This window comes from Homo sapiens, chromosome 2 (genome assembly GCF_000001405.40).
Source record: "Homo sapiens chromosome 2, GRCh38.p14 Primary Assembly".
NCBI classification, from domain to species: domain Eukaryota; kingdom Metazoa; phylum Chordata; class Mammalia; order Primates; family Hominidae; genus Homo; species Homo sapiens.
In genome coordinates, this window is record NC_000002.12 from 221,654,404 (window position 1) to 221,671,705 (window position 17,302).

General features: G+C 38.0%; 2 long non-coding RNA genes across 4 annotated transcripts in view; one reads left to right on the forward strand and one right to left on the reverse strand.

Moving 5' to 3' along the window:
* LOC105373899 (uncharacterized) overlaps positions 1-17,302 on the forward strand; it is a 101,158-nt gene that overhangs the window by 16,875 nt on the left and 66,981 nt on the right. The window lies entirely within an intron of this gene.
* LOC105373898 (uncharacterized) lies at positions 1,392-16,084 on the reverse strand. The gene is made up of 3 exons (XR_923940.1): positions 16,003-16,084; positions 2,549-2,685; positions 1,392-1,486 (listed from the first exon to the last, which is right to left on the reverse strand). It is a non-coding gene; the product is annotated as an uncharacterized LOC105373898 (long non-coding RNA).

A 17,302-nucleotide genomic window follows, 5' to 3' on the forward strand; every position in this document is an offset into this window, starting at 1 on the left:
TTAGTACATCAAAAGAAAGTGGCTCATCCCCTTTTTTTCTCCCCACCAAATATTGTGAAGACAATAGAATAAGGGGGAAAACACTCACTGAAAACATAAGCACAGTGTATAATTTGGAATGGCCATTAACCAGAATATAATAATTCTGTCAGAGATATTTCTCACAACGCTGAAGAGTGTTTTGAATTGGTGAAACCTTTAAAATAGAATATTGAATATCATAGTCTCTCCTTCCTTCCTTCCTTCGTTCCTTCCTTCCTTCCTTCATTCCTCCCTCCCTCCCTACCTCTCTTTCCTCCCTCTTCTTTCTTTTCTTTCCTCTTCTTTCTTTCTTTTTTCTTTCTTTTCTTTCTTTTTTCTTTCTTTCCTTCTTTCTTTCTTTTTTCTTTGTTTCTTCTTTCTCTTTCTTCTTTCTTTCTTTCTTTCTTTCTTTCTTTCTTTCTTTCTTTCTTTCTTTCTTTCTTTCTTTTCTTTCTTCCTTTCTTTCCCTCTTCCCACCACCCTGCTCCTCTTCTTTTTAGCTATAGGGCCTCCAAATGCTTTCACATATATTAGTTTACTTACACATACATTAGTTTACTTTATCTTCATAGAAATCCTAAAAACTAGTTAGGACCACTAGAATGATGTTTGGGTATTAAAAATAAGATTAGCAACTTTTTTAAGGTCAATCAAATGAGAGATTATACATCGGAGATTCAAATCCAGGTTTCCAAACACCTGAGGTAGGGCTTTTTTCAATATTTCTAACTACTCTATTCCTATTCAATTTAGGTACTGAATGCCTGGTGGTCAATCCACATTTTAAGGTTGCATTCACTAGAATCAGATGTAAGTATAAAGTCCAAGTAAGCAAAAAAGCATATTGAAAACAATTTCAAAATTTCTGGGAGAACTGCTAAAAATATCAATAAGAATAAGCATTTTCTAGCTTAATCCTTTACATAAATAGATGCTACTGCTGACAGTGTTTTTTCCAGAGCTGGACTTCCCACTGTCAGCAAGAGGCATGCTGAGATATTTACGGTGATCATGTTTTACATCACTCCATCTCTATCCTCCCTGGCTTTCTCAGCATTCTCTGAGCAGGGTGGGATAAAAGGCTGGTATCATGTAGCGATGACCTCAAAAGCCCCACACTGGGCACTGTCAATATGGCATGTTCTCCCCAGCTTCCCGTTCTTTGAATCCCTTCCCTGACAACCAGATGGATTGTTATGTATTTGCTTGCATAATGTGGCCCCCAATACTAACCTGGCTGTCTCATTTCTGATAGACAAGGATGTGGGACTCACATTAAAGCTGAGTTTCCAGCTGCACTCACTCTGTGCATACTCAGTGTTGATTATCTACTTGCCTGGAATAAAACAGGAGGGGCCACCACCATGGCTCATCCAAATGCTCCAGTAATTTAGATTCGCTATGATACCACGTGGTTGGGTCCATGCAGATTGGGGTGGAGTAACAATACTTCCAAGAACCTCAACTGTAAACATACAAAAACCAAATCTTAGGAAGAAGTAGTGAAAAGTAAAGGAAAGCAAATGGGTCTATCAGAATGAGCAGAGATAATGGTTTAGCACAGGGTTAGGAAATCAGAGAAAGTAGAGTCCTATAATATCTGACATTCCCTCTTGGATCCTTTCCTTCCCTTTTGTTCTTCCCTGCACTTGCTTTGTTCAGTTCCTCTGCAGAAACACTTACCTCTTCAGTCTTGCAGAAGCCTTCCCTTAGTAATAATGGTACTGAAATTCATCTTCCATGGTAAGTCAAACCAGGAGCCAGAGGCTCCCTTTCTGAACTCCAGACTGATGCAGAGACAAATTTATCTTTTTGCTTTGTATTGAGCACAAGCTCTGCTCACCAAATCTTGATGGCTCCTTCTGTGCCTCCAGAGCCCGAGTTCATGCTTCTTTTGGAGCATTCATTTACTTTGAACATATCTTACAGGAACTTGCTTTCATAACTGTTTGCATCCTTAGTTCAAAAATGTCTGTGAGGCAGGGACAGTGTCCTCTTAGAAAATTGTTACCAGTACATCAGGACAGTGACGTGGACATAATATATCTCTGAAACATCTAATAGAGAGATTTTGCCCCCATGGCTTAGGGCAAGGGTGGGCATTTGACCATCTCTAGAAATATTTTTGATTGTCAAAACTTGGCAGGAGGCTGTTACTAGATAGAGGCCAGGGATGGGGCTAAACGTCCTACAGCACCCAGGATATCACTCTACTACAAAGAAGTTTCCAACCCAAAATATCAATAGCGCTGAGGGCAAAAAACCCTGTTAATGGAACAAACTACCATCCCCAGGTAAATCTATACATATCTCCCCAAATAGGCAATTTTTCTGAGATGAACCTGACTAACGTGTCTGTCCAGGACAGTGTCTCAGCTTAAACAATGTTTCCAGCATAGAATACCTTCTCTTCTCAACATTAGCTCATTTATAACCCTTTGTGAAGCTTATTAAATAGACTTTATTATCCCCATTATACAATTAAGGAAATTGAGACTGAGGAAAGTGATCTGTGAAGGTTTCATACCTATGAAGGTGGCAGCAGACCTTGAATTTGAGACTTCTGGCTCCATGATCAAGAAAAAAAAAAATCAGTCAAGACATGAAGGCATACAAATCCAGGGCATGTTGAGAGAAGAGCCAAGAGTGACATGCCACTGAATCCTAGGGTGCAAAACAGAAAGAGAAAGTGGCTTGGGGTCAGATGGTTAGGCCTCCAAACGCCCTTTTAGGCAATTTGAACTTAGGAGAAGTGGAGGGCTGAGGGTAGATCACAGAATAGATGATTAGACATTTTCTTTGGAAGGAAGGGTGATTTGGCAGTGGATAGGCTGCTTGGAGAAGGAAAGATCATCCAGGAGGTGGCTGCAGTTCTTCAAGTCCGACTTCTAACCACTAAAGTAGGGTGACAGATAGAGGAACACATCAATCCCTAGAGCAGCCAAACTTACTAGAAGCTGCATAGTTTGCTCCAGATAATGTCAAAGTTTTGGGAAAAGTAAGTAACTACTCTGTGGAGGTCGCTGTATACACTCTGTGTCTGTGCTGCCATACACTGAACTAAAGACACAAATCCTTAAATTTTACATTTCAGATCGATAACCTAGATGTATATAATCTGTAGGCCTATAGTTTAGATCTATGCTTTCCTGACACATGGTGAATAAACAACTAGTTTCCAGGACTCCAAAGCAACATTCCAAGACTTCTTTCTCCCCTTAAAATACTTGTACTTTAATGGCCTTTATTAACCAAGTAACCCACCTCTATCTTTTAGGGTATGAGGATTTAGTAAACATATAGATGAGGAATGTGGTGAAGTTTCTTCTAAAAAATATGAGCCTGATTTGAGCTTTGAGATTTAAAAAAATCTCTAAGCAGCTAGAGGGAATGTAGAATTTCAGGGAGTGTATACATGTTCTCAAAAGAATAATATGCAAACAGCCTAGAAGCCTCCCACCAGTTATACCTGGAGTGAAGCTTATTCTTCTGTGAATGCGATTTCTTCTTAACCTCCCACAGATGAAACAGAATCCAGCATCACTTGTGATCTATTTCTAATGTAACTAGTGGTGGCAGCTTGTTTTGCATTTTTTTAACCTTCTTTTTAAACATCAGACTAATCCATCATGAACAGTGACTGCTTTCATTGTATAGGCCTTTGAATTTCAGAATGCCTAATTTGTTTATTTAAATGAAAAAGAGTTTCTAAAAGAAAGTGGAAAAGCTAAGGAGAGGTTTGGGTTCTTGCTTGCAGGCAAATATTAATTTTGCCTCTAGGGTCACCATTTTTTGGGAGCTATCAGACACAAATATTCTGTAAAAGCCTCATTACAGGGAGTTTCTACTTTGAGATGGTCAAGAGAGTTGCCTCCAGGCCACAGCCACTCTGACCTTCTAGGCTTTTGGCCATCTTCAGAGCACAGCCGATTTAATGATTTTATGAGGAGTCTTCCCCACCCAATCCTCTTAATAATTGGGCAAGTATTTACCCCATGCATTGGTGTTTTGGTTCAGTGATATCTAGGGGAGAATTGGAAACAACCTTGGATAAAAGAGATGATATTTCTCAAGGCGTATGATTTTCCCTTTGGATTTGAGTTATAGAAGATCTCAACCCTATTGTTCTTACCCTTCAATGTTGGCCTAGAAGGGAGAAAATTTCCCTAAGCAAGATATACCTTTTTGGATGTGTCAGAATATACTAGAACACTGGGCAGCAGAATTTCTGTCCACAAAGTCTTCTTTCCAGGACAGTTTTCTTTCTGTTTCAATGCAAACCTTCAGAAAGTTTTCTATCAGGGTATATCTAACATTGAGGATCATCAATTGCATTAGTTCAAATCATGGACATGAGGATTGTGTGTTAAGCAAAAAGAATTTACTGAGTTTCTACTATATGTTGTTTCCTAGGAAGGTTAAAATTGAAGAGTGACATACAATTATACTTCTTTGAGGAAGTTAAAATCTATTTGGATGGCAATCCTAATTTACCCAAAGAAACGGCAGAGAGAGAAACAATAGCTTCTGATCACAGGAGAAGGGTCATTTGAAATAGACCTTCAGTGTGCCCTTAGAATTTATAGAAGAAGATAAATGAGAGTTGGTATGCTCAGAGGATACTTCCTTGAAGAGGTAACCCTTGAACTGGATTTTAAATCTTAGACAGCATTTAAATACATCAAGATGAAGGAAACAAAATTTCAAATCTGGAGAGCAACATAAATAAAAATTTGGGGCCCGGTGCAGTGGCTCACACCTGTAACCCCAGCACTTTGGGAGGCCGAGGCAGGTGGATCATAAAGTCAGGAGTTTGAGACCAGCCTGGTCAATATGGTGAAACCCAGTCTCTACTAAAAATACAAAAATTAGCCAGGTGCAGTGGAGCGTGCCTGTAATCCCAGCTACTCGGGAGGTTGAGGCAGAAGAATCACTTGAACCCAGGAGGCAGAGGTTGTAGTGAGCCAAGATTTGCCAGCACACTCCAGCCTGCATGACAGAGTGAGACTCCATCTCAAAATACAAATAAATACATAAACAAATAAAATAAAATAACAATAAAAATTTGGCAGGACACAGTAGGACTGGGGACAGAAAATTGGTTATGTGGATAGGCAGACTTTCAGACAAAAACTAGGTGTTATATGCAGAGGAGTAGACAATAAAATATGAGAAGTATCATGGTAGCAGATTGAAGGTCTTTGAAAACGTAACAGAAGAATTTGAACTTGATGGCACATGCAATAGTCATTGTAGGTTCTAGAAACAGAGGCCCATGTTGAAATCAGCATTGCAGTGCAAAAGGTTTGATGACCAATGAGGGATGGAGGAGAGGCCATCACTGAAGGTGACTCCAAGGCTGAAGGCAGGACTGTTATCACCTACAGAAAGAAGCCTTCCACAGGTTTCGGAAGGAGCACCTGTTTTTTTCCCCAGGAGAAGAGATTCCATTAGGCTTTCCCTAAAGAGAATCTGTAATGAGAAAAGAAACAAAACAAAAGCAAAAACTAGCTATCATTTTCTCGAAGTGAGTGGAAAATTAAATGGTATTTCTGAGAATAAGTCCTTTCAAATATGAAAAGTTATTCCTATGATGAAGTACTTGATTTAGTCAACTTTTTATTCATTATGATGGTGTCAGTATATATAGAGAGAGAATAAAATCAATAGAGAGGAAAAACCTAGAGCTTCTTCTTTGTTGCTTTGTGTTCTCATAATACAAGCTCCTATCTCTCCACCTTGGCCTATGCTAATGTAGCCTTCTTTTATCCAGGTTTACCTCTTATACTGTCATCATTCCTGACCACTAATATGAAACCTTCTTCCACATAGTGTACTGAGAATCAAACAGATTTTCTCTTCTTTTTCAGTCATAACTCTCAGCTCTCCACTTTTCTACCAAGAAATCTTCCCCTCTATACTCAATCCCATCAGGACAAACCAGTTAAGTAGAAATGAAGCTGACATATAATCAGAGTCTTGCTGTGCTTTATCCCAATTCTTTTAGCTCTAAACCAAGGAAGCCATCTTGGTGAGACAAAAGGAGTGAGAACACAGTGCTTAGAACCCATGCTACTGTGGCTTCTCACGCAATGTAAAGCAGTGGGGAAATACTTTGGAAATAAACATAGCTTTATACCTACAACAGGTCATATTTAAGTATTTACATGCTTCTACTTATTATTTTAATGTTATGCCGAAATTGCATGTCTATCATGTTGTTTAAACGATCTCATAGAAAGCCTTTTAAAGGAATATCTTGACTGCAGTGAGCTCTAATTTTTGTCTTTCAAATCAAATGAATGACTTTTCCAAATAGGAGAAGAAGAAGAGCAGGAGTGAATAGTATAAAGCAAGAGACTTGGGTTTGGCACAGAAATTAATCGTAAGAGAAGCTGGAAAGTACTTAAGAGAATTCTGAGTTGCACTGATGATGCTCTCACCAGCATCTCTGGCCTGAACAATGGTCTCTGCTCTGATTTAGTCAAAGAGAAAACTGTCCCTCGATTTGTTGACAAAATCTAGCCTATAGACATGGTTTGTTTCTTTCCTGTGCAAGTGTCATTAAGCTCAAATGGACCTAATCTTCAACTGCTGAATGCCAAGGTGCCAGCCATAGCAGAGAAGTTCAGAACATGAACTTTGGAGCGAGTTGGGAAGACAACTGATGTTTAAATTCTACCTCTGCCATTTACCAGGTTTGAGACCTTAATAAAGTCATTTAATATTCTGAATCTTGATTTTTCTGTAAAGTCAAAATAATAATTATTAATTGGTTATTGTGATAATTAAATAAGAATGTATTGACAGGGCTTAGCAAGCACCTGATAAAATATTTAGCACCTAATAAATATTTAGCACTGAATAAAATATTATTTGCTATGACCTCTCTATGAGCCTGAGGGACACCTTTATAATGATGAAGTACAAGCATCTTAAGTTTGTTCTGTAGAAAAAAGAACTTGTAATAGTTTCAAACAAAGCTTTTCTTATCAGTGTCCTTCTCTTGATTAAAAATGTCATTACCCTCTGAACAACTCAGGCTGGAAACTACTGGACTTTTTATTATTATGATGATTATTTTTCAAATCCCTTAACTCCCTCATCCCCTAACCTAGCGAATCTTCCATCACTGCTAGTTTTTTTTCTTGAAAACAATGGTTTTCCAACTTTTTGTGGTTTATAGACTAATTTTAGAATATTGTGAAGCCAGGAAATAGTCTCCATAGAATAATGCACTCAGGTGTACAAAATTTTATAGACTATTTTTAGGCTAAACAGACCCTCCAAAGCCCACATAAGTACCTCCTAGGTGTCTAGGGAGGAAATTTTGAGAACCCCAGCTCTAAAATAGTTCTTCAAACTAGATGAGCCTTTTCATGTCTTTGACATCTACTCTAGTTCCAAATCCTTTTCATCTCTTGCCTAAATTCAACTTGGTCTCTTTGATTCCAGCAAGCTCTTTCTCCTACCGAGAATCCACCCTTTTCCCAATGTCTTTTTCACCTAAAGTAACATTTTCTTCCTCAAATTCTTCGGAAATTTGTTGTTGATTAACACTGGTCCTCAAATGCTACCTTATATCATGAGATAGAGAGATTTTGAATGTAGACAAGAGATGGGTTCCAGAGACCTAGATACTTTTTAAAAACTTTGGAGATGATTCTGACCCTAGTAGGCCCAGACCACACTTTGAGAAACATTATCCCAAGATGATCTCTTCAAGCTAACTTTCTCGGTCATCATTTTGTTCAACTTAGCCTCTGTCCTTTCATAAACTGGGTATGTTTTGAACTTTGTTTTTATTTGCCCTTCAATTTAGAAAACTCTCTTCACTCTCACAATTTGGTTGAAAAACTTTCTTTTCTTACATTGAAAAAGAAATTTAGAGACAGGGTCTCACTGTATCACCGAGGCTGGAGTACAGTGGCACCATCATAGCTCACTGCAGCCTCAAACTCCTGGGCTCAAGCCATCCTCTTGCTTCAGCCTCCTGGGTCCCTGAGATTACAGGTGTGAGCCATTGTGCCTGACCTCAAAACTACTTATTCTTTATCACTCAGTACAACCACTGACTCTTCTATGGATTCTTCCTTCACCAGCTGCCCTAATAAGAAGGCAATATACCTTCTTCTAATGTCCTACCATTGCCCTCTGCAAGCACTGCCATTATAGCACATGGGAGACTTTCCCTTGAATTACTTTTGCTTGTGTGCATGTCTGGCACCTCCACTAGATTGTACAGTCTTTGAAGGTAGATCAGATTCTACTTACTCCATATGTTGTAGATATTCCTAAAATGTTTGCTGAATTATAAAATTTGCTATCATTCACATATGTGCCACATTTTAAAATTATTTTGTCTGTCCTCAGAACAGCAGAACTCAAAGTTATGGTACAGAGGAGGCTCGTTTGTTACAATGCAGGGCCATGCTATTGTACTGGGGCCAGCTTGTACTGGCTCGGAAGAACTGTCTGTGTGCATTTCTTCCCAATTCTGAATTCAATGATGTCCTTTTGGTAAGCTTGAAATCAGTCATAGTGATAATATTTACCCCACAGAAATCAGCAAATGCTATAAATCAGGGTTTTTTCTTTTAAATAATTTTTTCTTTTTTTGAGAATGATTTACCAGCACAGCACTGCCAGTAACCAAAATAGTCATATAATTTCTGTGTGCCTTCATAGAATCCAATCTAATAAGAAAAACTCATTTAGCAATCTTGAAAGCCACCGTTTGCAAGTAAAAGAGCTACATATAAATCAAAGCCCTGGAACTTCACTGCTCAGAATGACATGGAGTAGAATATACCAAGGCACCAAGATGTAGGATTTTCCTTGATCTTCCATTTGTAAACTATGAGACATTAAGCAAATTGCTTGAATCTCTTGTAGGCTTTAATGTTATCACCTTCACACTGAAAACATTAATGCCTTCCCCTGTTTCAAAAACCTAATTTAAGAGTAAATGAGGGAAGCCATGTGTGCAGAAGCATTTTAAAAATTGCTATCAAAATGTGTTCTTTCTGCCTCTGAGCTTCTAGATTCAGTTTTACAAAGGAGATTCCAGTCAATAAGAGAGTGACAGTTCTTTATCCTCACTAATCAATCTAAATCTACGAACAGTTAGTGCATGCTTTAAATGCTGTATGTATCATCCATTTCCTTCCTCAAAAGGCAAACCTGCAGAAACATCAACCAGACTAGGCATTTTGCCTCTTCTCCTAGAAATTTTCCCTTTATTTGCACGGAATTCCCCTTCCCTTAAAATGGTAAACACTAGAACTATCTGATCTTTATCACAGATTTTAGTGAAATACAGACATACCATTTAACTATCCTCCCTGCTCTCCATAATATAAAAATAAATGGCATTGATTAGTGATTGACTTCAAAGTGAATAATTGAGCTTTAATGAGTTTATAAAAGGGATTGAAATCAAGGCAATAAATTAAAAGCAAAATAAAAGAGTAAACAAGAAAGGATGTTTTACAACTTGGTTCCATTACAGTCTATGCTAACCAGATTAAAAAGTAATTGCCATGTCAAGAAAAATTATAGTGGCCTCTGCAAAATGGAAGAGCAGTAGGCTCTCTTTGTGTGTGGGTGTAAAATGAAGAAATTAGAAAGTAAATAATTACAGAGAAGGAGGGAGAGGGCAAAATTTTTTCCTGGCAGTCATTACGCTTTTAATATCAGAGATTTCTTCATAGAAATAGACATTATCATCAACACATGCTAATGAGCTGCCTGATTTAAACTAAAATCTTTAATGTCCTCCATTATCTTTGTATAAGTGAAGTTTCATGCTTTGTAAAGATATAAAGATATCTAATATCTTTTGTATAACATATCAGGAGTATATTTATGACTGCATGGTTTAATAATTTTAAATGTCCCTAAATTAATGACATTAAAAAGACATAATAGTCTCAATATTTTAGGGGACCTTTTAAAAATAGGCTTTAAAAAAATAAAAAATTGATGACATTTAGACAAATGATCTAAAATAAGAAGCAATTGTGATTGGAGAACCAAAAGCCACCATAAAATAGGGAGATTACGTAAAATAAATTGGATGTAGCTATCATCTCTATGAGCCCTGATAATATGTCACAGGGCACTTATGGAATTGAATGCAGCCCTCAGAGACCCACAGCTCATTATCACTGAGAATTCATGGGCAGCTGGTGAGAAGCCTAAATAGTGGTAAAGGGCAGATGTAGCAGCAATTTTTAAAATAACTATCTCTAGAATCTTCACAGCCTGAGAATCCGCTCTAAGAAAACAACCAAAAAGATGCAAGCATCAAAATTCAAGATGGTATCTGTTGATAAATCTAATAAGCAAGATAATTGTGACTTAACATGTATACAGGGAACTGTGGTGGGTACAGTGTTGATGGCAGTGAATTGAAATTAACCAAATGTCCCCACAGACACATCTATCTATTGGGACTTCCAAGTTAGACTGGGAGCACTTGTACAGAATGCCTGGGAGAGTCGAGGTAGCCAAATGAGGAACCTGTTTTGAGATAATAGGAATGTTTTCCAGGAGTGTTAAGACCAGCCCTTCAGTAGTTGGAGTATCTTGACCTCTGTGTTAGTCCATTTTCATGCTGCTGATAAAGACATACCCGAGACTGGGCAATTTACAAAAGAAAGAGGTTTAACGGACTTATAGTTCTACGTGTCTGGAGAGGCCTCACAATCATGGCAGAAGGCAAGGAGGAGCAAGTCATGTCTTACGTGGATGGCAGCAGGCAAAGAGAGAGCTTGTGCAGGGAAACTCCCCTTTATCAAACCATTAGATCTTGTGAGGCTTATTCACTATCAAAAGAAAAGCACAGGAAACACCTGCCCCCATGATTCAATTACCTCCCACTGGGTCCCTCCCACAACATGTGGGAATTCAAGATGAGATTTGGGCAGGGACACAGCCAAACCATATCAACCTGTAACAAAGGCTTAGGTATCACAAATAAAGAGAACAGACCTGTTTATACTTTCATCACACCCTAAGTGAGGACTAACACTGACTTTTATTGTGCATTTACTTTAAGAATCTGTAGTCCTGGCTAGATTGAGGTCAAAAACATAAATAAGTAGATGTTCAGATAAATACACAATTGTATGTGAAAGATTATTTGAAAGATAATCACCCCCTTAAAGATTCATCATTCACTTAATACTATTGACAGTTAATATCCTTTGTACAAATTCTTTTTTGAGTTGGTCTGAGATGGAGATCATATGTTGATTAAATTCAGAAATTCAACTGTTACTCTAAGCTATGTGATAGAGATTGAGTAAAAAAAGTTTCTCTCCTTTATTTTCTAGTTTTCCCATTAAAAGAAAATTCTTAAATGCATTTAAGATGTTCCTCTCTTTACAGGACATAAACTCGTTCATAGCAGTGCTTTTAAAAAAAATCCATGACCACAAAAGAAGAAGCACGATTCAAATTGATTTAAAAACTTGGAAAGAATTTTATCTCAAATGGAAGAATTGTTTTTTCATTTCCATAATGTTCTTGGTTTTAGTTGAATTATTTCAAGGAAGTTTGCTCAGGCAAGTTAGGTAATTTGCGTGGAGCTATCACAGGCTACAAAAATACAAAAACATACAGACTTCTTAATTTCACAAATATTACAAAACAAAACATTGATCAGAAAAACCTGAAAATTTAATTTAAAATGGGATGTGATACCACCAGGCAGAAAAAAAATTGCAAATGGTCTTTAGACATACTAAGATGCCCAAATTAATTAACGATAAAATAAAAGCAAAATAAAAATGCACTAGATATCATTTTTTCACATATCATGAAAATGAAAATCCAAACAGTTAATAGCATACTTAGTTGGAAAGTTGTGGGGAAACAGGAATACAGAGATATTTGACAATATCTTTTTTTTTTTTTTTTTTTTGAGACGGAGTCTCGCTCAAAGTGCATATACCTTATAGAGTGGATACTATAGCTAATGCTTAGACATGAGCAATAGAGATTTTCAAAGTAATTCATTGCATCATGGTTGTAAGGGCCAAAAAACTGAAACAATGTTAATGTCTACAAAGAGAGTACTGATAAAATAAATTATGGCAGGCTAGGCACAGTAGCTCACACCTTCAATCCCAGCACTCTGGGAGGCCAACGCAAGAGGATCACTTGAGCATAGGAGTTCAAGATCAGCCTGGGTAACATAGTTAGACCCCGTCTCTACAAAAAATAAAAAATAAAAATCATCTGGGCATGAGGGCACACGCCTGTGGTCCCAACTACTTAGGATGCTGAGGCGGGAGGATAGCTTGAGACTAGGAGGTCAAGGCTACAGTGAGCTGTGATTGCACCACTGTACTCCACTTTGGGTGATAGAGTTAAACCTTGTCTCAAAAAAAAATATGGCAGATCCGTATGATGACTACTATATAGCTGTGGAAAAGAGTGAAAAGAGTCAAAGATTATAATTGCTCTCCAAGATAAAGCAAAAAAACAAGGTGCAGAACAGTTTGTATAGTAAGATATATTTTGTGTACCAAAAAAACCAAGAATAAAACTATGTATTTATATTTGCTTGAATATACCCAGAAACTCTGAAAAACTGCACATACATTAATAGCAGTAATTGGCTGGGTGCAGTAGCTCACTCCTATAGTCCCAGCACTTTGGGAGGCCAAGGCGTGTGGATGGCATGAGATAAGGAATTCAAGACCAGCCTGGCCAACATGATGAAACCCAGTCTTTACTAAAAATACAGAAATTAGCTGGGCATGGTGGTGTGTGCCTGTATTCCCAATTACTCGGGAGGTTGAGGCAAGAGAATAACTTGAACCCAGGAGGGCGAGGTTGCAGTGAACTGAGATGGCCCCACTGTACTCCAGCTTGGGTGACAAAGTGAGACTCTGTCTCAAAATAATAATAATAATAATAATAGTAATTATCAGGACAGGCAGAAGATACAGGGTAGGTGAGCATACTTGACAGTTCTAGAAGCATATTTTAAATGACAGCCATAAATCACTTTGCTATTTTTCTATGATAATTGAAAGACAGTGACTCTAGGGAGTTTTGAATGAATATTGACTTCTTCTTAATTCTAAAGCTCTTGGGATTTGGTACATAGCTAAATTCAAACTTAATTTGTTTCAAAGTATTTTTACATCGACTTTCTATTACAGATTCTAAGATGCTCTAAAGAGCTAAATTTCAGTCCTTTATTAGTCTTTCATGAAGTAAATGGGATGTTCTTTATAGACCCATTTACTATAGTATTATATATGATAGATATGCACCATTTTTGTAAGGGTGTGAAGAAGAGGCCATATTGAATTCCTGCAAATATAGAGTGTCTGCATCAGTTTGGGACTTTCTCCTGAGTCACATTTCCATTAGATGTCGCCTATATGTTACACATATCCTTACACTACAAAATAATCACCTTTTCAACTTCTGATAAAGCTTGATCTATCTCATGATGATCGTGTCTCAGTTTAAATTAGTTCCTACAATATATCTCCTCATAGCGCTATCTACTTTCCTAACACTTGCACTTTTAAAGTTATTTCTATAATGATTTGCTTAATGCAAATCTCTGACACCCAAATGTAAATACAATGGGGGCAGAGAATGTGTCTGTTTTTGTCTGTGCTGTGCTCTCTAGGCCTAACACAGTGTAAGTCAATCAATATGTGTAAAATTAGTGAAATTCTGTTCTAAATAAGCCCTATTTTAATTTTATTATTAATTTTAAATAAATCTATTATTTTAATCATTAGCTAGTATATAGTGCAGAGAGGACAGTAAAACACAGAATAAGCTTCTGTTTCAGACATACCTGAGTTAGTCTTATTAGCATTGACACTATCTAGTGTGTGCCCTTAGACAATGTCTTGGTTCATTCAAGCAGCCATAACAATAACAACAACAACAACAACAAACAAACAACAACAACAACAAAAACCCATAAACTAAGTGGTATATTAACAACAGAAATCTATTTCTCACAGTTCTGGAGGCTGGGAAGTCCAAAATCAAGGCACCAGATGATTTGATTTCTGGCAAGGACCTGTTTTCTGATTCACAAACAGCACCTTCTCACTATGTTGTCACAGAATGAAAGGGTTTAGCTAACTCTCTAGGGGCTCACTATGTCATCACTGTGTGGGAGGGTCTAGCTAACTCTCTGGGGACTCTTTTATAAGGGTGCTAATACAAATCATGGAGGCCTCACCCTCATGACTTATTCATCTCCCAGAGGTCCCACCTTTTAACACCATCATCTTGGAGTTAGGATTTCGACATATGAATTTTGAGGAGATACAAACATTCAAGCCATAGCAAACACTTTATTTGACTTTTCTAATCCTTGGCTGTTTTATCTATAAAATAGAAGAAAATATATTGTTTCTAATCCATAGGGTTATATTTTGTGGATTAAGTGAAATCAAGAATGCAAAGGACTTAACACAATATCTGGCTCAGGACGAGAACTCAGTAACAGCCAATTAGGCTTATTGTCATTGCCCCTGGGCTGCAGAGTTAGGCAGTTAGCTATGCCAACTTAGTAGCTATATCCTCTCTCCCAAACGTTGTCACTAAGTTCATGCTATTTATGACACAGCAAAATGACAAATTCCTTTTGCCTTTAACCCCTCACCCAAATTATTAAAACCAAGAGTATTGAGTCTGTATGTACAAAGGGTTGACTGCCACTCTCCTAGCTTCACAGGGTTACCTAGTACTTGATTGGTGATTGTATGTTAAGATCTGTGATTCCAAATAAATATTTTGAACATCTGGATGAGAATTTTTTGTTGGGGACAGGGGGAATCATTTCTCTACAAGGGATAGATTGCATGTATTTCCTTTAATAAAGTTTAATTCTAGTATTTCAGAAATAAATATTTGATATAATTTTCCATTAAAGTAAATAAAATTGACTTATTTTACTATTAATATTTGCATTGGCTTTTTACAGAAAATCATAAGAAATGTCTCAATAGAACCCAGTCTTATGTTTTTGTGAGTCTGTGACTTTTGCACACATCTTCTTTTTATGATTTTTCAGAAAATCATAAAAAAGTGTCAATAAACACAGTCCTATGTTTTTGTGCATCTGTGAGTTTTCTTTTGCACACATTCTTGCTTACAAAGCAAGACTTAACCATAGCTGCTAATGCATTAAAGTTTAAAGTAGTGGTTAAAATCAGAGACTGTGGATTCAGACTATTTAATCCCAGCTCTGCTACTCCCCACTTTCTAGCTGCATGGCCTTGAGCAAGTGTTTTTTAAAACCTCTCTGTGCCTCAGTTCCTTTATCTGTAAAGTTGAGCTAATAGGGAGCTCATCAGATTGTTGATGAAATGATGCAAAGCATTTAGAAGATGCTTGATGTAGAAATGCTATATGCAGGCTCCTACTATTTCATATGAGGAAAGTATTATTATCCTTCTTTCTCTAGACCAGATAATGAAGCTAGGTTTACACATACCACAGTTGCAATCAAGACCTAAACCCAGTTCTTTCAACTTCAAAGCTCACATTTATTTTTTTTTTTTTTTTGGTTATCAATTGTTCCTCAGTTTAAGGCCTGCATTCTCAATAGGGCAAAAATTGAGGTTTTGGTAGAACCAAAAATTCTTATTTATTATTACAATGGCTTGTGGTCTTCCAGTGTGTCATTGTACCTAAACAAATACACAGCATATATGTGGTATTAAAATTTCATGGACAGGAGGTGATTAGGGGAAAAACATCTAAAAAGTCTGTTGAAGGGGACAGTCATGAACACAGGTTGAGAAACACTGCTCTAAGTATAGAATGAGGTCATCTATATCAGAGTCTTCTCCCATGCCAACTGAAAACACAAATTTAAGTCCCACTCCTTGCAGGTCTACCACTCTTCCCCTCACCTCTGTTAGAATTTCTAGGGCTGGTGCCTGGGAGCCTGCATGAACACCAAACTCCTCAGATGACACTTACTCAGGTTTAACTTTGAGATCCCCTGGTCTGTCGGTGAGCTTCTGAACTCCATCAGCTCCCAACGACACACAGAACTGGGCTGTCCTTCTCACTGCCCCTGTTAGTTGCTCTTGCTCTTCCTCCAGCTGATGTCAGAATGAGGGCCACACACATGGGAACATGATGAAACGACAATGGACTTTAACATTACCATTCAGTAAATGTGGAGGATTTCATCATCTTCAAAAGGGTAAAAGATGAGATACTGAGGAATGTGTAGCACCCCTGGAATAGCAGAGGAGAGAGGTAAACAATAAAAATTGCTACTCTCATCTCCCCATTTGTTCTGCACCCAGCTTGAGCTAATTTTTTTTTTTTTTTTTGTGACAGAGTCTCACTCTGTTGCCCAGGCTGGAGTGTGGTGAGCGATCTCACTCTGTTGCTCGGCTCACTGCAACCTCCACCTCCCAAGTAGTATCTGGGATTACAGTCGTGTGCCACTGTGCCCGGCAAATTTTTGTATTTTTTTCATAGAGATAGGGTTCTGCCATGTTGCTCGTGGATCTCGAACTTCTGACCTCAACTGATCTGCTTGTCTCGGCCTCCCAACGTGCTGGGATTACAGGCGTGAGCCACTGCGCTCAGCCCTAAAACTGTTTTTATATCCACATTTCAAACTGTTTATTTGAAACTGTTTACGAAAGTTAAGTTCCGTGAGAAAGAATATGGCCTATTTAAAAGAGGAGCATGCATGTTGCAGTGCCAGGGAGTAAAACCTGGAGGAAACCAGCAAGCAGTGACAAGGAACTGGCTGTTTTCTCCCAGGGACAAGGTGGTTTGGTGCAACTAGCCCAAGCTTGGGACCTGGGAGACTGGGTCTAAGTCATGGCTGTGCCATAACTAGCTGGGGCTAGTTATGCTGGACCTCAGCTTCCTTATCTGTGAAGGGAAGGAATTGCACTAGAGAGTTTCTAAAGTCCCAAATCGATCTAAATTCTGTGTCCTTTCAAATTAATCATTAAAGGCTATGAGGCAAGTAAATTTCTGATGGAGAAAGGAAGATCAGAGCAATTAATCAAAGAGAGAGAAGTTATTCCTTTTAGCAAGCTACCAAATTATTTTGACTATTTTTCTTCTTTTGAGTTTTCCCAGATTCAGAGAACAGACGAATAGAGGATTGCAGAGGCCACTGGGGCAACAGAAAGAAAAAGCTATCCCTCTTAATCACTGAAAGCCAGGCGGGGCCCCAAGTGGGTAGCAAGGAGGTGGGACACAGTGTTGGCCAGAGGGCTGGAAGGGGTCCAGGTCCAATCATATTTCA